The 22,005-nt window shown below is 39.6% G+C and overlaps 1 protein-coding gene and 1 non-coding gene across 3 annotated transcripts in view; both read left to right on the top strand.

Moving 5' to 3' along the window:
• LHFPL6 (LHFPL tetraspan subfamily member 6) overlaps nt 1-22,005 on the top strand; it is a 260,302-nt gene that overhangs the window by 151,942 nt on the left and 86,355 nt on the right. The window lies entirely within an intron of this gene.
• On the top strand, nt 4,036-4,137 carry LOC124903266 (small nucleolar RNA U13). Its single transcript, XR_007063965.1, has one exon. It is a non-coding gene; the product is annotated as a small nucleolar RNA U13 (small nucleolar RNA).

Genomic DNA, 22,005 nt, shown 5'->3' with positions numbered 1-22,005 from the left:
AACAAACTTAATAGTATCTTCCATTGACTCTGTAAACTATTTTTAATCACACATCTCCCCCTTAATAAATAAATAAACAAACAAAATGGATCTCATGACTGGGAGAAAAACCTGACAAGTTTCCATTTTAGCTTCAGTGCACATTTCCTGGGCAATCATAAGCCAGCAACTGGTGTTTACAATCCAGCTATCTTCCGGAGAGTAGAAATAAAATATTACCTAGTATTATTGTGAGTTAGAATAAAACTCTTCGTGGTAAATTTGTGGTAATTGAGGGTCCTAATATGTGAACTCTTAAATATCAGGTTTTGTTTTATTATTTTTACTTCTATTGTGACATTAATCACATTTTTCTTTGCAGTTCAGGGTCCCTACTGCTCAGTTACTGTATGTTTATAGTCTAATTTAATTTTATAATTCAGCTAAGTAAAATACTGTATGGGAATATTATACATATCACAAAATGGCCCATAATAACATTAGCTGGAGCCATATGAAATGACTGATATTTGACTGTTTTTGACCTACAGAAACGGAATTCACTTGGTTCAGACCTACCAAAACCCCACTATTTAGTGGTTCAAATCAAGAAGCCACCCACTTAGTACACCTGGGTGTACTAGCAGCACCTACTGAGTGTAGGCAAAATCAGCTTGAAGTTCTTAGAATCTAAGCATGGATAGATAGAGAGAGACACAGATATCTCTTTATATAGCCATATCTAGGTAGATATCTCACACCCACACACCCACATACACATACATATTGTTTTAAGCCTTTTAAATGGATAGCTTTCTAAAATGAATTAGTACTTTCATAACTCATTAAACTGACTAAACCAAACAAAATAGGAACTTTCTGAATGAATCAGACATCAGAATGAACATCAACTCTTCTACTATGAATGCAGTACCATGATGCCAGCAGGACCTATTGAGTTATATTGGTTCTCACTGCAGTATCCCCAGACTATTGTGCTTTTTAAGCTTTAGTCAGTTTTGACAGATTTTCTATTTTGTCTACTATTGTATCTCTGCTCTCATAGAACCTATAACAAGTACTAACCCCATTTATTTATGGCTTCTAACATTCTTTAGAAATTTAGACTCTTTAGAGATTTAGAAAACAGGTTGCCAAATTTGTAATATTTTTAGGTAAAGCATAAAAGCAAATAATCTGTAAAATTGATGGTGTATGAGTTTCTCCTCCAAGACAGAGCAAAGAATTTGATGGCTTGACTTTTGTGACTTGGCTAATTGATTCTCAGTTGTGTTCCAAATATATGAGATTGTCAGATGAGTATTTGTGGATAAAGGAGATGTTATAAGAAGAAGCCAGGGAAGGTAAGTCTGATGCAGAGCTGTGGAAATTAGCAAACTATTCAATCTTAGTTTGAAATTCCTTTTTTTTTTTTTTTTGCTACTTTCAGAATCATTGAACTCTTAACCATTGACCTTGGATGGACTTGGCAACTGAGTCACAGATATCGTGACTTTAAATCTTTAGGTTAATAGCACTCAGTTTTCAGTGTGGGCTCCAGTGGTATCCACAATAATGAAATCTTAATTGCTTAGATGATTTGGCTCAATCTGTATATCTTATATTCTGTCCTGAAAACAAGTTCCATCATATAAATTAAAGGTAAGGCAGTCTGTTTCGTCAATTTAGGCTCATTTTAAATCCCAAACTTTAAACTGAATGTTAACTATTTCACAGTTACAATATTTTTCAAATGGCAAAATTGTAAATCTACTTCTGTAAATAATATTGTGGGAAAATCATAACAATTGCAATGTTGGAAAATACTTTTCCTATCAATACTACTTTTTCATATTTTCTTATTTCATATCCATTCACACCCTTGACCAGGACAAATGAGGACATTTTTTATTATAACACTAACCTTTTATAACCGTATAAGTAAATATTACTTTATTAATTTGTCAGATTTAGAATCAGGTGTTAATTCTTTGGTTTGCCATTTAAGTACATTTTACACATATGTGTTTAGTGCATATTTCAAGTAACTGTCGTGAAATGTAGTGAGGAATATCACTGGTCATTCAGAACAGAGGGTCAGTTTACAGTTGATGTGGACGTCTGTATCTGTGAGTGCTGGAGGCCCATGCAGCCGAGATGCAGTGGAAAAGCTTCCCTGGCTTGTGAGGCCAGTAGCACCTCCCTTGCCCTATTAAAGCTGCAGACTAGCAATAAGTTTCCATTTGTGCATTGACATGGTTGAGGCAGTTTTAGAAGGTCTGACAGCATTGGGATTAGCTCCCCAGATCAGATGACTTCTAATGCATCTGCTCACATTGTTTTGCCAGCTTTCAATTGGCCAGTTTCCCCAGTAAGTTCCTTTCATTGCAAATCTAATCCCCTTTACAAAGTAGAATATTACTCTTAGTTTTGTCCTGAAATAAGCACATTAAGTAATTCATTATAGTCTTCCAGTAAATGGTTCCTGTTACAGGCATTTTAAATATTTCCAAATGATCTGGTTGGATTAACATCAGTAAATTAAAAGTGTATTTCACCTGTCTGAATTTAGAGTTCTCTCATGAATGATGGTTTGGACAACCAAAAGTTCTGTTAAAAAGAATTGTAGGCATGTGATTTCTGTTAATGAGGCTTTTCCATATTTAAATCTAGAACTACCAGCAGACCTGATCATAGCAATTTTGTACGTTAAGTTGTACATTGTTTACAGAAAATGAAAGTAGAGATACAAAAATGATGAATTTCTCTTGTGCCTAATGTCTGCTCTTTTCATAATTATATAATTTAGCCAATGTGCTAGATTCTTTAGATAACCTTGTTCCCGCCTCTTTAAAGAATCCTTCTCTATTTTGCAAACTTCCCCACTTTCCTACCTGATGAATAAATGTGCAGTACAGACAAAGCTCCTGCATAGAAGCAGGTCGTGTTCCATAATGTATTTGTTTGGACCTCAGAATATTATATTATGATATGTAGGATCTGAGGCCAATAGACAAGAGCATATTTAACACAAAATGTACCCTGAATAACAGTGCTATCAAACTGAGTCATCTTGGAGAACATTATTTCCATGAAAAGTGAGGCTTCCAAAAATTTAAATGCAAGCAACAAATCTGCTCTCACTGAAACTCTGTAGCTTTGAGATCTGTGCCTTCCCACCACCCCTGAGAACTGGGAGGAGACTCCCACAGTTCTGAATGTGTGATTGATTTGGCCTGGTGCCTGGCTACAATGAAGGAGATTAGGATTTGGGAAGAGGGTAGCACAAATATTCAGGGTCAAGGAATTAGAATGAAGATGGGAGGACTATGTGAAGGGTCTGGATGAGGAAAGAGGAATGGAAGAACATCCCCAGATGAATTCCCTCCTTTTTCCTTATAGTTTCTCCTTATCCTTCCTGTTTCTCACTTTCCAGACTTTTCAAAATTATCAGTAATTTATGAAGGGTGGAGAAGAGCAATGGCCCAAATACTATACTAGGTCGGGGATGGATCTCCCTCTTCTTGCATCCTTCCCTTTTCCTCTCTTGCTGTGTGAGAACTCAACCGTTGAGTGACCTTGGTGCCACTGAGAAGTGGATGGGTAAGACTGAGCCCTGGGTGCAGAATATACTCCATGTGTTGTTGAAGAGGCCTGAAGTCCAGTAGCAACAAAAGGGAATTCCTCTTTCAGGCTCTCTGGGCTTGCAGATCTTATCAATTAGATTTGTGGTATTACTGCTTTTCATTTAGGACACACAGTATCTTTCATGGAGTACTCTCCAACTCAAGAATTCCAGGTCTGATCTTACCTATGGGGTGGAGTTTAATGAATCTGATGAAAAATTGGCAGTTCAACCAGGATCCTCTTAAAGACTTGATTCCTAAATTAGATATATCAATTTAAAAAAAATATCGTGAAGTATAGGCATTATGAACAGCAAGAGAAAGCTTAAAAAAAGATTATGAAAATTTCCCTTATAATTTCATCTATTTGGGGACACTCAAGAGAGTCTGCACTGTACTAAATGGGCACACTCAAATTCAGTGCATATTGATCCTTTTGTGCTTCATAAGCGTGATGATTGGGTTTCACAGTAACGTGTGAGATGTGCCTTCTTCAGCCTTATTAGGATGTTGGCACATTACCCATCTGATATGAAACAAAATCAGTACATATTTAACTCTGTGTTCCTATACAAGGCCAACTTAGATTTGTGGTTTGAAAGGATTTGGGCTCTAATTTGTTCATTTAATAGTCTGTGGCTAATTAACTGGGTTGGTTAGAATTCAGCTCTAGAGAGCTTAAGGTCGAGGGCTCAATCTCCCTGTGAACCAGTTTATCTTTTCTGTTTCTTGGTCATTGATTACACTCCTTATTCGTATTCAGGTGACTTACAAAGTTGTGTTATTGATTATGAGGGATTGGATATGGACAAATTAAAGCAAAACCTTTACCAGAGCAAATGTATTGCATATAGTTAACAGGTCAAAATGGCATGCCACTTAGTATCGTGAAGTTTGCTATTGGACGGGACCTAAATGAAAATACCGGCTTTGCCACTTAACTAGAGTACTTTGGGCAATATGGTTTACTTTCCTAAATCTTAGTTTCTCTAGCTACAGAATGAAGATGGTATCAGCCTCATAGGGAAGCTATGAGGATCACCGAGATCCTCAGATACGACGTTGATTGTGGTACACAGTTGGGACACGATCTTTGTTTACCCTGGCCCAGTTCTCTCAGGGTATACTGTCCCATGCTGAATGTCCTAGGGCCTCTGCTTACTCTGTGCTCTGCAGATGGTATCTGTTTAACTTCTGCACCCACCATAGTTCATCAATAGCTGTCTCCAGCTGTACATCGGGAGAGCTTGAGAGCTTGCCTATGAGGACAGTTTGTTCAATGATTCCTCTTATTTCATAGCACCTTTCAACTAAATGGTTCTGAGTGGTAGGAGTTACAGTGCACAGGAGAGGATGGGAGTCTCATAGATACATACACAAAAGATAAGTAGGCCTACTCTGTTGGAGGAGATTACATAGATGGGCTTCAGGCTGTATCTGAATCTTCATATTTCTTCCACTTTATCAGGGCCTTCCAGTGAGTTATCATCCCAAAGTCATTTTCAAGTTTGTGCTCCTAACTACCATGCTCATTTCCTCATTTGTAAATTTGTTCATCTCCCAGGAGAGAGTTGAAAGTAATAGGTATCTTAAAGAAGACTTGGCATACAAATTATAAATAAGATCAATAAAAATATGATGGAATGATGCTTTTTAATTCTCCTTCTAAGATTATTAGCTCTTTTTTGTGGAGAGAAAAATGCAAATGTGATGCTAATTATGAAGACCCATCTGTTATACTTAAAGTACCACAGGAAAAAAAGCCTAAATTTAAAGCTCTTCTGTGGTACTTTGCAACCTTTGAAGACTCATTTTGGAGAGGCTGTTTCCATTTCAAACAAACTTTGATGTCCTCTAAGGTAGGATGTCTACTTGAAAGACTCTGAGTTGCTATTTGAAGAGACCAGTTTATTCTGATGTACCACTGTTTTTTGTTTGTTTTATTCTGCTGTACCAAATATGTAGTTAATGGACAACTGAATAATTATTTGGAAAGAATTGTTAAATAAATTATGAAAAGCAAACATTAGATAACCACCAACCTGAGTACTTACTCAGCTCAGAATTTGTTTCTTTTAATACCCTTCCTGGGCAGGGATTCCAGAGTACTTTACTAAACGTCTATTGAAATCTGTTCTATACTAAGACTGAGCATTCTCCTGGTAATTTGGGTCAGGTCCAATTTAGGAGCTGGGTGAGAAATTCATCTGACCTCTCTCATCCTGTGTTTTTTAATTTGTAAAACTGGAAAAGTTATTTTCAGTAAATCTTCACAAAGTCCTGAGTTAAAGAACCTAAGTATTGTTAAAGCCCCAAATTCATGTTCTTTCCATTGTGTGATGTGATGTCATATGGCATAGAGATAGAGATTTATAAGTTATCAAGGTAAAGGGACTGTGTCCATTTCATGCTGCTATAATAGAGTACCACAGAATGGGTAATTTATAAACAATAGAAGTTTACTGGGCTGTTCTGGAGGTTGGGAAGTTCAAGATCAAGGGGACGTATCTGGTGAGGACCTTATTGCTGCATCGTAATAAGGCTGAAAGCATCACATGGTGACAATGTGCACAAGAGATAGCAAGAGAGGACTGAATTCACTTCTGTGATAATGACAAACTCACTCCTGAGGTAATGACATTAACCCAATTAATAAGGGCAGCCCTGCCCCTGTGGCTTTGCTGGGCTCAGTCCACCCAGCAGCTCTCACAAGTTAAAGTCTTGTGCCTGCAGTTTTTCCAGGCTGGAGTTGCACACTGGTGACTCTGTGGTTCATGGTCTCAGGGGCCACACCATTCCCATGGCTCCACTAGGCATTGCTCTAGCAGGGACTGTCTCCAGTGGCTCCACCCCTGTGACAAGTCTTTGCCTGAGCCCCCGACTGTCTGTAACATCCTTTGAAACCTAGATGGAGGCTGCCATGGCCCCACAACTCTTGCATTCTGTGTGCCTTCAGAATTAGCACCATATGGATGTTATCAAGATTTATAGCTTGTACCCTGTGGAGTGGCAGGTGAAGCCACACCTCAGCTCACTTGAACCATGGCCAGAGCAGCTGAGGGGTGCTGTACCAGAATTCCAGGAGTGGAGTCCCAAGGCAATGTAGGGCAGCGAATGTTGAGGTCTTGTAGGTACCTCTCTGGAAACCTTGCCCTTGAAGTTCTAGCTTGCCTTGGAGATCTCTGAAATGCCTTCAAGGTCATTGTCCTATAGTCTTGATGAGTAGAACCTGGCTTCCTTCTATCCATATGAATCTCTTTAGCAAACGTCTCTTGGCCACACCCTTAGTATTCTCTGCTGAACAAACTTTTTTATTCTTTACATGGTCAGGCTGATATTTTTCCAAATCTTTCCATTCTGCTTTCGTTTTAATTATAAATTCCATTTTTATATCATTTCTCTCTTCCTTCATTTTACTGTAAGTATCTAAAAGAAGCTATGCACAGCTTAAACACTTTGCTGCTTAGATATTTCTTCTGCCAGATATCCTAGTTCCTCACTCTTGAGTCCCCCGTTCCACAAAGTTCTAGGACATGGACATAATTCCATGAAGTTCTTTACAACTGTATAACTAGGATAAAGGATGGCCTTTATTCCACTTTCCAATGCTCCTTGACTTATGATGTGATTACATCTTGATAAACCCATTGTATGTTGAAAATACAATAAGTCAAAATACATTTAACACATCAAACCTACTGAACATCATAGCTTAGGATAGCCTACCATAAACATGCTCAGAATGTTCACATTAGCCTATAGACAAAAGCCTATTGTATAATCTAGTATGGAATATCTCATGTAACTTATTGAATGCTATATTGAAAGTGAAAAACAGGATGGTTGTATGGGTACTGAAAGAACTGTTTCTATTGAATGCGTATTACTTTCACACCATCATAAAGTAAAAAAAATTGTTTAAGTTGGGGACCATCTATATCTTGCTTCTTATGTCTGTCTGATACCGTATTGGAATGGCCCTTACACTCCATATTTCTACCAACATTCTGACCATGACCAGTTAAGTAATCCGTAGGAAGATTTAGGTTCTCCTACAGCTCTTGTCTTCTTCTGACCCCTCACCAGAATTGCCCTTACCACTCCATTCACAGCAATCCAAGCTTTTACTAGCTTGCTGCTCCAAATTTTTCCAGCCTCTATGCATTACCCAATTCTAAAGCTGCTTCCACTTTTCAGGTATTTGTTACAGTAACAACCCCATTCTCTGTACCAATTTTCTGCTTGTGCTGCTATAACACAACACCAGAGATTTTGGAGTTTATAAAGAAATGAAATGTATTCTGCTCATGGTCTGGAGGCTAAGAATTCCAAGACTGAGGGACTGCATCTTGTGAGGGTCTTCTTGCTGTGTCATACCATGACAGAAAGCAGGAGGGCAAAAGAGTGCATATGAGAGACAGAGGAAGAAAAGGGGACAGAACTCATCCTTTTCTCATGAACCAACTCCTGCAATAACTAACCAATGCCCATGTTAATTAGCTCACTCCCATAGTAACATTGTTAATGCATTTATGAGAGTAGAACTCTTGTAACCTAATCACTTTTTAAAGGTCCCACTTCTAGACACCATGCCTTGGGGATTCAGTTTGCAACACATGAACTTTGGAGGATGCATTGAAGCCACAGCAGGGACTAATGGAAGACACTAGATATTTTCAACTCTCTGAAAAAGGAGAGAATAAGAGAGAGAGAGAGAGAGAAAGAGACAAGAAGCTTCAGTTAGCTCAGGAACTGAGCCATGAGGGTCAGCTCTGATTGAGGACAGTAGTATTTGAAATGAGTCCCTGAGTTGTTCTCACCATAAAAGCGAGGGATGGAGTTTTAAGAAGGAGATTGTTCTCAATACTGCCAAATGATGCAGAGAAGTCCAAAAGAGGGAGAACAAAGACAAGGCAAAAATTCACAGTGCAAGAAAGAAAAAAAAGAATAGAATTACAGAGCCCACAGAACCTCTGAGATTTTCATTAATACAATACACATACCAGAAAACTAAGATCAAGAAAGATAGACACTTAGAGCTACATAGCTAATCAGCAATCGTTCCCAGAATTGGTTCTGTCTCCAGATTCCCAGCCTATGCCTTCTTCTTTCATGCCTTCCCTTCCCTTTGCAGCTAGTCAGTGCCCATCAGACCCTTTAGCACTTTCCAAAGTTTTGATTATAGTGATATTTTAAATGTGAACATGAATCTCACCAGAAAGTTTCTCCACACATGGAAACTTGTTTGGGGCAATGTAAGTATTAAACATATTTTTCTTAAGGTTTGCTCAAGAGCTTCTTATACTGAAAAACTTACACATCATCTCTTAATAGCTAAAAATATATACCCTGATAAGAAATAAAGGGAATTTGTGATATGACATTTATAACAATTTAACAGAATACTTATTGACATATTCAGATTTTTCAACTACCTAATTTTTTTTTTAAACTCAGTTCTTTCCCATGATCATAGAAGACTATTTGATATGTAGAGACACCTAAAGAAGTTTTAGCCAGCTGGGGGCGGTGGCTCATGCCTGTAATCCCAGCACTATGGGAGGCTGAGGCAGGTGGATCACTTGAGGTCAGGAGTTTGAGACCAGCCTGGCTAACGTGGTAAAACCCTGTCTCTACTAAAAATACAAAATTAGCCAGGCGTGGTGGTGCATGCCTGTAATCCCAGCTACTTGGGAGGCTGAGGCAGGAGAATCGCTTGAACCTGGGAGGCGGAGGTTGCAATGAGCCGAGGCAGCACCATTGCACTCCAGTCCAGGCGACAAGAGTGAAACTCTGTCTCAAAAAAAAAAAAAAAAAAAAAAAGTTTTAGCCCAGGTGCAGTGTAGTGGCTTACAGCTTTAATCCCAGCTCTTTGGGAAGCTGAATCAGGCAGATTGCTTGAGCCCAGGAGTTCAAGACCAGCTGAGACACATGCTGAAATCCTATCTCTACAAAAAAATACAGTAATTAGCTGGGCATGGTGGCATGTGCCTGTAGTCCTAGCTACTTGGGAGGCTGAGGTGGGAGGATCACTTGAGCCCAGGAGGTCAAGGCTGCAGGGGGCCATAATCATGCCTCTGCACCCCAGCCTGGGTGACAAAGTGAGACCCTGTCTCAAAATAATAATAATAATAAAGTATTTTTTTTCAGAAATTCTGAATTTAATTGATGACAAAATTGAAGCAATATATCAGGAAGGCGGTAGACTTTTTTCTCCATTTTCCTCCATGGTGGTCCTACAAATTGCTGCCCCAGCCATATTTTAAATCCCTATGTCTAGGGTAGTTTAGGTGTTTTGTTAGGTATTTTTGACTTCCTGATCAACTAATAGCCTAATAAACAATGCATTTAACAAGGCAGGGGCCAGGTGCAGCGGCTCACACCTATAATACCAACACTTTGGGAGGGAGAGGCAGGAGGATAGGATAGTTTGACCCAGGAGTTTAAGATCAACCTGAGCAACAGAGAGAGCCTTTCTCCAAAAAAAAAAAAAAAAAAAAAAAAAAAAATTAGTTGGCATGGTGGCACATGCCTGTGGTCCCAGCTACTTGGGAGGCTTGTATTAGTCCATTTTCATGCTGCTGTTAAAGACATACCTGAGACTGGTATTTTACAAAAGAAAGAGGTTTATTGGACTTACAGTTTCGCATGGCTGGGGGGGAGGCCTCACAATCATGGCAGAAGGTAAAAGGCACATCTAACATGGCGGTAGACAAGAGAAGAGAGTTTGTGCAAAGAAATTCCCATTTTTAAAACCATCAGACCTCGTGAGACTCATTCACTATCATGAGAACAGCGCAGGGCAGGAAAGATCTGCCCCCGTAATTCAATCATCTCCCACCAGGTTCCTCCCACGACACGTGGGAATTGTGGGAGTTACAATTCAAGATGAGATTAGGGTGGGGGACACAGCCAAACCATATCCGGCTGAAGCAGGAGAATTGCTTGAGCCCAGGAGGTGAAGGCTGCAGTGAGCCATGAGTGCACCACTGCTCTTCAGCCTGAGTGACAGAGCAAGACCCTGTCTCAAAAATGACAGCAATAACAACAAAAACAAGGCACATATCAAGCTCCAAGAAAGGGCCTATCTATGTAACTGGAGATTATAAAGTCAAAGAAAGTGCCTATGTATTTGCTCTCTGTTTTCTGTTTGTTTGAGTTGCATTTTAAAAAATTTTATATAAAGACTCGTATCTCACTTTGTTGCCCAGGTGGGTCTTGAACTCTCAGCCTCAAGCAGTCCTCCCATCTTGGCCTCCCAGAGGGCTTAAATTACTGGCATAAGCTACCACACCTGACCTGCTCACTGTTTTTTAAACAGAGTGTAGACCACACCAAAGCTCTGGGCTCTGAGCTAACCCAGAGTAAAACTATGGAGTTGACTAAATTTATCTTTAAATTTATACCCACCACCTTCACCCAGTCCTTATAATTAACTCTTCCTTAGGAGATGTGATGTATCATTGCACAATCTCTCCAGATAACTCTCTAAAATATCTTCTGCTCATCTGAGCTACAGTTATGTGATCTCTCTCTCTCTACCCTTTTAAACCATGATGAGACTTCTTCCTCTAATACATACTTCACCATTCAGGCTCTGTGTATTAACTGATTAAACTTAAAAACAGTTACTTAATGAAGTTGCACTAGAGAAAACAGTAGCCACTGTTAGTTACTGTATTAGTTCACTTTCACACTGCTATAAAGAAACACCTAAGACTGGGTAATTTATAAAGAAAAGAGGTTTAGTTGACTCACAGTTCTACAGGCTGTACAGGAAGCATAGCAGCTTCTGCTTCTGCAGAGGCCTCAGGGAGCTTTTAATCATGGTGGAAGGCAAAGGGGGAGTGAGGTAGGCACTTCACATGCCAGAGAAGGAGGAAGAGAGAGAGTGGGGAGGTGCTACAGACTTTTAAAAAACCAGATCTCATGAGAACTCACTCACTATCATGAGAACAGCACCAACGGGGATGGTGTTAAACCATTCATGAGAAACTGCCCCCATGATCCAATCACCTCCCACCAGGCGCCATCTCCAACATTGAGATTTATAATTTGGCATGATATTTGGGCAGGGACAAAGATCCAAACCATATTATTATATCCCAGACCCCTCCAAATCTTATGTCCCCCTCACATTGCAAAATACAATCATGCCTTCCCAAAAGTCCCCCAAAGTCTCAACTCATTCCAGCATTAACTCAAAAATCCAATCTAAAGTCCCATCTGAGACAAGGCTAGTCCGTTCCAACTATTAGCCTGTAAAATCAAAACAAGTTAGTTACTCCCTAGATACAATGAGGATATAGGCATTGGGTAAATACTCCTATTCTAAAAAGGAGAAATTGGTCAAAAGAAGGGGGATAAAGGCAAGTCCTGCACCCAGCAGGGCAATCATTACATCTTAAAGCTCCAAAATAATCTCCTTTGACTGCATGTCTCACATCCAGGGCACACTGGTGCAATGGGTGGGCTCCCAAAGCCTTGGGCCATTCCACCCCTGAGGCTTTGCAGGGTTCAGCCCCCTTGGCTGCTCTCAAGGTTTGCCATTGAGTCTTTGTGGCTTTTCCAGGCACATGGTGCAAGCTGTTGATGGATCTAACATTCTGGGGTCTGGAGGATGGTGGCCCTCTTTTCACAGCTCCACTAGGCAGTGCCCCAGTGGGGACTCTGTGTGGGGGCTCCGACCCCACATTTTGCCTCTGCTCTGCCCTAGTAGAGGTTCTCCATGAGGGCTCCATCCCTGCAGCAGGCTTCTACCTGAACATTTAGGCTTTTCTGTACATCCTCTGAAATCTAGGTAGAGGCCCCCAAACCTCAACTCTTGTACTCTGCATACCTGCAGGTTTAATACCATATGGAAGTTGCCAAGGCTTAAGGCTTTCACCCTCAAAAACTGTGGCCTAAGCTTTACCTGGGCCCCTTTGAACCACAGCTGTAGCTGAAACGGCCAGGATGCAGCAAGCAGGGTTCTGAGTCTGCAGAGGGCAGTGAGGCCCTGGGCCTAGCCCAACAAACCATTCTTCCCTCCTTGGCCTCTGGGCCTGTGATAGGAGGGGCTTCCTTGAAGGTCTCTGAAATGCCTTCAAGGCCTTTATCTCATTGTCTTGGATATTAGCACTTGGCTCCTCTTTACTTATGCAAATTTCTACAGCCTGGTTGAATTCCTCCCCTGAAAATGGGCTTTTCTTTTCTACCATATGGCCAAGACGCAAAGTTTCCAAACTTTTATGCTCTGTTTCCCTTTTAAATATAAGTTCCAGTTTCAGTTCATTTATTTACTCATATGACCATAGGTGGTTAGAAGCAACCAGGTCACATCTTGAATGCTTTGCTACTTAGAAATTTCTTCCACTGGATAGTGGAATCATCAGTCTAAATCATCAGTCTCAAGTTCAAAATTCCACAGATCCTTAGAGCAGGGGCACAATGCAGCCAGGCTGTGCTAAAGCGTAGCAAAAGTGACCTTTACTGCAGTTTCCAATAAGTTCCTGTCCTGATTTCCATCTGAGACCTCCTCAGCCTGGACTTCACTGTCTATATCACTATCAGAATTTTGGTCACAACAATTTAATACGTCTCTAGGAAATTCCAAACCTTGTTGCATCTTTCTGTCTCCTTTTGGATCTCCCAAATGGTTCTAGCCTCTACCTGTTTCCCAGTTCCACATTTTTAGGTATCTTTATAGCAGTGTCCCTCTTCTTGGTACAAACTTTTATATTATTTAATCCTTTTTTTTTTTTTTGAGACGGAGTCTCGCTCTGTCACCCAGGCTGGAGTGCAGTGGCGCAATCCCAGCTCACTGCAAGCTCTGCCTCCTGGGTTCACGCCATTCTCCTGCCTCGGCCTCCCAAGTAGCTGGGACTACAGGCACCCGCCACCACGCCCAGCTAATTTTTTGTATTTTTAGTAGAGATGGGGTTTCACAGTGTTAGCCAGGATGGTTTGATCTCCTGACCTCGTGATCCGCCCGCCTCAGCCTCCCATAGTGCTGGGATTACAGGCGTGAGCCACCGCGCCTGGCCTATTTAATTCTTGCACTGCTGTAAAGAAATACCTGAGACTCAATAATTTATTAAGAAAAAATATTTCATTGGTTCGTGGTTCTTCAGGTTGTGCAGAAAGCATAGAAGTTTCTGCTTCTAGGAAGTCCTCAGGGAGTTTTTAATCCTGGTGAAGGCAAATGGGGAGAAAGGCATTTCCCATAGCCAAAGCAAGAGGAAAAGAGGGAGTGGGGAGGTGCTATATACTTTTAAACAACCAGATCTCATGAGAACTCACTCACTATCACAAGTACAGCACCAAGGGTGATGGTGTTAAACCATTTATGAGAAACTGCCCCCATGATCCAATCACCTTCCACCAGGCCCCAACACCAACATTGGAGATTACAATTTGACATGATATTTGGGTAGGGAGTCAGATCCAAACCATATTCATTACCCATTATAATGATGTATAAGGAAAGCAGGATTAAATGGAGAGGTAAAATCTAGAATTACACTAATAGCAACGATACTAATAATATGATTATAAAAGCACAGCAGCTTACATGTTTTGAGCACTTACCATCTACCAGAATATGTAAGCCTTTTTATATTATAATAAGTCTGTAAAATTTGTCACCTTTTGAATGAGGAGAGGTCTAGGCAGGTTATAAAATATATCTGGGGATTTAGAGCTGTGGATTTCATCACAGGTCTGTTGAGTTCCAGTGGCTTAACTACTGTGCGATCAAGTGGTTGAGTGGACCCAATGTGTAGGTCACTCTTATGATCCACATACACCTCCCATTGTTGGGGCCATAGCTGTATTTAACAGCTATTGTTAGGCACACACTGGGATGTTGAAAAGCCACACTAACTCAGGAAACACAGTGATCAATGTGATATTGATGTGTAACCTGCAACAGGTGTGACCACACAAACCATAACATTGCTGTGCTTTATAATACATAATTTTAGAGAACAATGATTTAATATTTGTTGATAACCTGCAGATGAGGGGAAAAGTTGTTTTATAAGGTAGTATAGTTTATAAGTATTGGTAGGAACTAGAAGGTTAAAAACTCTTGACGGGACAGGGGCTATGGAGAAGAAATATGTATCTCAAGAATTGCCATCAGAGCAGGAAGAAAGGAAGGGATTGAATAAATATGAATAGGGCAATGAAAAAGGAAGAGATGTTTCTCTAGACTAAAGCTGCTGTCATGTATGATATAATTCAGTTATTCATTTGTTTGTTAACTTGTTACTTTTTATTTAAGCAAGCTATGCTCATTTAAAAAATTTTAACAGGACATCAAAAATAAAAATTATATTACTCATAATTTCACAACTTTACTGATATAGTTGACATTGAAGTACATCTTTCTTCAGCTATTTTTCTCTGCATGTTATATTTTATTTTGGGATCTTTCTGCATGTACTCCTCTAGAATATTCAGTGGCTGCACAAAATTTTCTTATATTACTGGTTTTCAAATGATTTGGCCTCAGGACCCCTTTCTTTACATGCTTAACAATTGTTGAGGACTCCAAAGGATTCTGGTTTATACTATTGATATTTACCTTAGTAAAAATTAAAACTGAGAAAAGCTTAACATATTTATATATTTATTAATTTAAAAATAATATTAAACCTAATACATGTTAATATAAATAAATATATTTTCCAGAACAAAAGAATAGTTAAGAGTGACATTGTTTTCCAGTTTTTTGTGAACATCACTTCTTTAGTGACTGGTTTAATAGAAAATAGTTAATAAGTTCTCATATGTATGCATATGACCTGTTTCAATAGGTTGTTTTGATTGAAAATATGAAGAAAATACAGGTTCATACAAATATGTAGTTATTAAAGTGGTATTTTAATAGCATTTTGAGATAATTTTGAATATTCTTCTTTGATGTCACACCAAAACTTGACAGGTAATTGTTTCTAAAGGTTGGTGGAAATGTGGAATCCATGAGTTCTTCGTATTTCGCTGTCTATGTATGTAGTATATACATATGTATGTATTAAATCCACCATCCTGTCTTGCATTTTCAATGGAGAATTTACTCACGCATAATTCTGTAACATTGTACATTAGTCATTTGGAAAATAACATTCTGAATTATATAGAACTTCTAAATGTTGATACATTTTACTTTATAACATAGAAAATATGGTATTTATTAATACCACTAATGACCTCATCTAAAGGTCTTTAAGTATTGAGAAGCTGCCAAGCATACTGTGACAGAAACAAATCTTCCAAAATTCTTATATTTGCTTGAAAGCTCAAATTTTACCATTGGCAACAATGGCAACTGTCAATGTGGGTTCACTTTCCTCTTGGATAAAACGTTAGCCCAATGCTCAAGTCTGGACAACAATACTTTGTCATCTGTTGTTTCAAGTGAAATATTTTCATTAAAAAAAGGTTAATTTGGCTTGAAACCCAAAAACTCATTACACAAGTGCTGTATCTCAAGATAGCCATCATCTTTCTATGTGCATATTTCTCATTTTGTCACAGAATATGAAAAAGATATGTGCTGAGGTTGATTTACTTCTTTTTTTTTTTTTTTTTTTTTTTTTGAGACGGAGTCTCGCTCTGTCGCCCAGGTCGGACTGCGGACTGCAGTGGCGCAATCTCGGCTCACTGCAAGCTCCACTTCCTGGGTTCACGCCATTCTCCTGCCTCAGCCTCCCGAGTAGCTGGGACTACAGGCGCCCGCCACCGCGCCCGGCTAATTTTTTGTATTTTTAGTAGAGACGGGGTTTCACCTTGTTAGCCAGGATGGTCTCAATCTCCTGACCTCATGATCCACCCGCCTCGGCCTCCCAAAGTGCTGGGATTACAGGCGTGAGCCACCGCGCCCAGCCTGATTTACTTCTTTATCAAGGATATTCTTAAGTAACATTGGCATTTTTTTATTGCAAGCGTGGAGGTGAAGTCTACATGGCCAGGAGTAGTACAGTTTGGTGCTGCAACCATGACTCATGCTAAAGTCCAGGCAATTTAACCCACCATTTCATTTGGGCCATCAGTGAGGATGTCAGCTTGGTGAAAATGGGTAGTAACATTGCAATGTTACTATGAAAGCAAGTTTAAAAACAATTTAACTTGGCACCAAAATGATTGACATATTTATAACAATTTGAGATTGTTTTATAACATCTATAACATATATAATATGCAAAGGAAAAAATGAAATTAGAATCACTCATGTTGCAAATGCTTGATAGAGAAACAGCATCAGAGCAGAAAACATGGATTCTGGGGTTAGAATTCTGCTGCCTTCTTTGCATGCTTATTAGCTGTATGACTTTGGACAAGTCATTTAATTTCCCATTCTTCTTCTGTAAAATGTCAATAATATATTTTCTTACAAAGATGTTGTAAAGGCAAAACAAGACTATGTGGAAAGTGCCTGATATAGTACCCAACATGTAGTAGGTCTTCCTTAACTAGAAGCTATTATATTTTTATTAATGAGAAAAGATCTCCCCAAATCAAGGGCTGGGGCCAAGAGGTCTCTTATCTAGACCCATGCTGCCTCTGAGCATGCAAATCAAAGAATCCATTGGTAGATGTGGTTGCAGGAGGTGGGAAGAAAAATAGGAATCCAAAAGCCTGATACAAGAGTCTGTAAGAGTCATCAAAACAGAAAGAGGGTCACAGATAGCAGGCTCTTTGCTATCCTCTCCCAGAGAGCCAGGGAAACAGGAGCAGGAAATCGATGGGTTGAAGGGAGTAGAGGAAACAAATTTCATCCCAAAGGAGGCTCCTGGTGACTGCTGGATTATTCAAACTTCTTGGCTGAGAGAGCTGGTTTACAGGGCCAGGGTGGGATGGATAGGAATTCTTATACTTTTAGGCTGAATAAGAATTTTCTTGCCAACATGACAGCTTTGAGCAGCAATCAAGGGCTTCAAATTTCCACAACATCTGAGGTCACTCAATTTATACTTAACTTGCCAGTTTTATTATTATTTCCAGTGTCATATTGGATTCTTGGTAATAATTGTTTATCACTGAATATCAGATTGACACTAATTCTTTCTCTGGGGTCTTCTGTACAGATCACTGACTTTGAACAGATGTACATGTCCAGATGTCTGCAACCTTGTCAGGAGTTTCCTCTGGCTTAATCGGTGCTTTTTGATATTTATTAAGCACTCCTCAACATGATGGATCATCAAAGGATTATGTGTGTTACATGCTCTTTACTTTATATAAAGTGTATTAAAGATAGAATTGCACATGTGCATCTATCATATAAGTTATAAAGCTCTTGATCCCCAAAAAATGCCAGTCACTTCCAGTACTTAGCTTTGTTAGAATTTCTTTTGTTTTATTTTTTAGTTGATTGGTTGACTTGTTTGCTAGAGTTAAATATACATCATGGTGAAAGTTAGGTGCTATTTAGAAAAAAAAGCATTACTCACCAAATTAGTTGTTTCTTAACAACTCACTGATAGATACTTAATTATCAGAGCCTTATAACAATTTAGAGGTAGAAGAGCTTAGCTGGCCAGCTTAGTTCTCCTACCTCTAAATTGGCATAAGGCTCCAATCTGTTGATTTTAGCATCAGAAGGCAAGATCTAGTGACTGGATAGCTTGAATGGATTTTTGCATATGTATTTCTTAGCCTCATAGGAGGATAACTTGAAAATAATTTATTTTCTGTTTTGGTATTTGTTTTCATATTAACAAGGTATGTATTCTATACTTCAGCCATAAAATTGGGGTATAACAAAAATGTTTAGTCATCAGTTCAGTGATAGATTGATTGACTGATTAATTGATTCAATGACCATGTATTGGCTACTTATTATGTGGTAGGCAGTGTTCTAGGTCCTACAGAAACATCAATAAATAAAACTGATAAAAATATCTGAATTTGTGGGGCTTACATTTTGGGAGTGGAGTGGGAGGAGGGAGAAACAATTTTTTTTAAGTAAATCATAAAGCACATTGAAAGATACTAAGTGCAAAGGAAGGAAAAACTTATACAGCCAGGAAAGGAAACAAGAACTGCCTGGGATGGAGGTGGGTTGCAATTTTAATGGGGCAGTTGAGGAAGACCTAATCGAGAGTGAGATTTGAACAAAGATGACATAGGAGAGGGGGTGGACCCTGCAGAGGAAGGGAGAGAGGTTGAACCCTGCAGAGGAGGGGAGCATTTCAGGCCAAGGGATGAGCCCATGCAGAGGCATTGAGGGGAGACAGCAGGGAAGGTAGCATGTGTAGAATGTGAGGTCAGAGACAGGAGTGAAGAGGGAGGGAATGGACAGAGGGGAAAGCCATTATAAAGTCTGAGCACAGTGTAAAGTGATCTGCCTTATGTTTTAATAGAATCACTCTTGCCACTGGTTTAAAAAGACTGTATTGGATGTGTCTTAAATTATTTGTGCTGTTATAACAAAATACCACAGACTGGTAATTTTGAAATAAAAGAAACTCATTTCCTCACAGTTGGAGGCTGGGAAGTCCAAAATCAAGGCGCTGGCAGGTTAGGTGTCTGGTACAGACTCATTCATCTAGATGTCCTCACGTGGTGCAAGGGACAGAAGGGTAAAAGGGACCCAAGCTGGGTTCCTTCCAGCCCTTTTATAAGGCACTAATCTATTCATGAAGGTGGAGCCCCCTTAATTTAATCATTTCTCAAAAGGCCCCACGTCTTAATACCACCACAATGGAGATTCAGTTTCAACACCTGAATTTTGGGGCACACATTCAGACCATAGCAGGGGGTAGGGACAGACACAAGGAAAAAAAAATGGGAGGGATTGCAGTTAAGCCAGGTGAGAGATAAGGGTGACTTGGGCTGGAGTGATAGCTGGGTGGTGAGAAATGGTTAAATATTTTTAAAATAGAACAAACAGGTTTGCTGACAAATTTGATGTGGAATATGAGAGGAAGCCCCCCCCCCCCACAAATTCTACAGGGCTTTTGGCTTATGTAATAAACAATGAGAATTTGGAGTTCTCATCAACTTAGATGGAGAAGACAGTGTGTGGGTAGTTTTTTAAGTGAGGGAGTGGTATTGATCAAGTATTCAGTTTCAGATATGTTAAGTTTGAGATTTCCATTAGACATCAAAGTAATAAGAAAAGTTGGAAGGTTGAGAAGAACAATGGATATTTCAGTCTTGGGATTCAGACAAAAGGTATGTGCTGGAAGTATGAGTTTGTAGGTGTTGTGTTCAGAATTGGTTCCTTCCAGTGGGTTCTTGGTCTCGCTGACTTCAAGAATGAAGCCGTGGACCCTGGCGGTGAGTGTTACAGTTCTTAAAGATGGTGTGTCTGGAGTTTGTTCCTTCAGATGTTCAGATGTGTCTGGAGTTTCTTCCTTCTGGTAGGTTTGTAGTCTTGCTGACTTCAGGAATGAAGCCGCTGACCTTCGCAGTGAGTGTTACAGTTCTTAAAGATGGTGTGCCCGGAGTTTGTTCCTTCAGATGTTCAGATGTGTCCAGAGTTTCTTCCTTCTGGTGGGTTCGTGGTCTTGCTGACTTCAGGAGTGAAGCAGCAGACCTTCCCAGTGAGTGTTATAGCTCTTAAAGGTGGCGTGTCTGGAGTTGTTTTTTCCTCCCAGTGGGTTTGTGGTCTCTCTGACTTCAGGAGTGAAGCTGCAGACCTTTGCAGTGGGTATTACAGCTCATAAAGGTAGTGCAGACCCAAAGAGTGAGCAGCAGCAAGATTTATTGTGAAGAGTGAAAGAACAAAGCTTGAACAGCGTGGAAGGGGACCTGAGCAGGTTGCCGCTGCTGGCTTGGATAACCAGTTTTTCTTCCCTTATTTGATCCTGCGCATGTCCTGCTGATTGGTCCATTTTACAGAGTGCTGATTGGTCCATTTTTACAGAGTGCTGATTGGTGCATTTACAAACCTTTAGCTAGACACAGAGTGCTGATTGGTGCATTTTTACAGAGTGCCGATTGATGTGTTTACAAACCTTTAGCTAGACGCAGAGCGCTGATTGGTGCATTTTTACAGAGTGCTGATTGGTGCGTTTGCAAAACTTTAGCTAGACAGAAAAGTTCTCCAAGTCCCCACTCAACCCAGGAAGTCTAGCTGGCTTCACCTCTCAATGTCAGCATGTAAATGATGTCTCAGATCAGTTTTCCCAGGAAGCAGAAACTGAGATGAAGATTTGCACTCAGACATGTATTGGCAAGGACTTTTGAGATTAATAACTGTGAGGAGTAAAGGAAGTAGGAATGGACAGAGGGAAAAGTTGGGCTGCCATAAGATCAGAAGTAAGTCCTTCCACCAATCTCATGGAGAGCTCTAGAGCTGGAAAAACCTCGCAGAATTGTCATAATTTATACCCCCTACATCAGTCAGTTACTTGATGCCCAAGCTTGTGACCTTGAGTGAGTCAACTTTCTTCAGCTGATGGCAGTTGCTTGGTGAAGATGGGGAATAAGTTTTGAGAAATCAACCATTAACATTCTCAGCAGTGGGGGTAATGAGTGGTTCAGTCCTAAAGGGCAGGCATTTGAGTGGTACACCCAGCATACACTGCAGTAGTATTTAAATCCACAAGAAGGATGAGATCACTAAAGAAATGAGTGTGCTTAGACAAGATGCCCAAGGGCTGAGCCCTGAGCCCTACGGCATTATTAAGTTATGAAGTTGAAGTAATAAGATGGAAAAAGCAAAGATCTCAGAGAAGGAGTAGTTAGTGTTGCTGATTGATTGCAAGGAGGGTATGGTGCCCTACAAGCCAGGGAAAGAAATATGCTTTAAGGAGACAGTGATCACATATGTCAAATGCTGCAGAGAGGTCAAGTTTAATGAAAATTGAGAATTTACCTTTGGATTTAGCAAGATAGAGGAAGTCAGTGGCCTTGACAAAGACTTGTTTCAATAGAATAGTAGGAATGGAAACCAGACTTAAACAGGTTCAAAGTAGAATGGGAGAAGAGGATTTGGAGACTGTGAGTGTATATAATTCTTTTTAGAGTTTTTTTCATAAAGAGGATTAGAAAAAATAGTAGCAATAATCACATTAAATATAAATGGTCAATATATTGATATTGAAAAATCAATATCAGTAATCACATTAAATAGAAATACAGGCAAAGATTGTCAGATTGTATAAAAATGTAAGACCTAACTATATGTTGCCTATAAGAAATGCACTTTAAATTTAAAGACACAAATAGGGTAAAAATAGAAGGATGGAAAAAGATATACCATGCTAACACTAATCAAGAGAAGGCTGGAGTGGCTATATTAATAGCTGACAAAATAGATTGTTATCAGGAAGATTTTGTAAAGATAGATGGGTCAATTCATCAGGATACCTTATAATCCTGAATATGTACCTATTTATAGAGCTTCAAAATACATGAGACAAAAATTAATAAAACTGCAAGGAAAAATAGAGAAATCCACAAT

Source organism: Homo sapiens, chromosome 13 (genome assembly GCF_000001405.40).
Source record: "Homo sapiens chromosome 13, GRCh38.p14 Primary Assembly".
Classification (NCBI taxonomy): Eukaryota; Metazoa; Chordata; class Mammalia; order Primates; family Hominidae; genus Homo; species Homo sapiens.
Note: the sequence above shows the minus strand (reverse complement) of the source record. Positions and strands in the feature narration are given on the sequence as shown.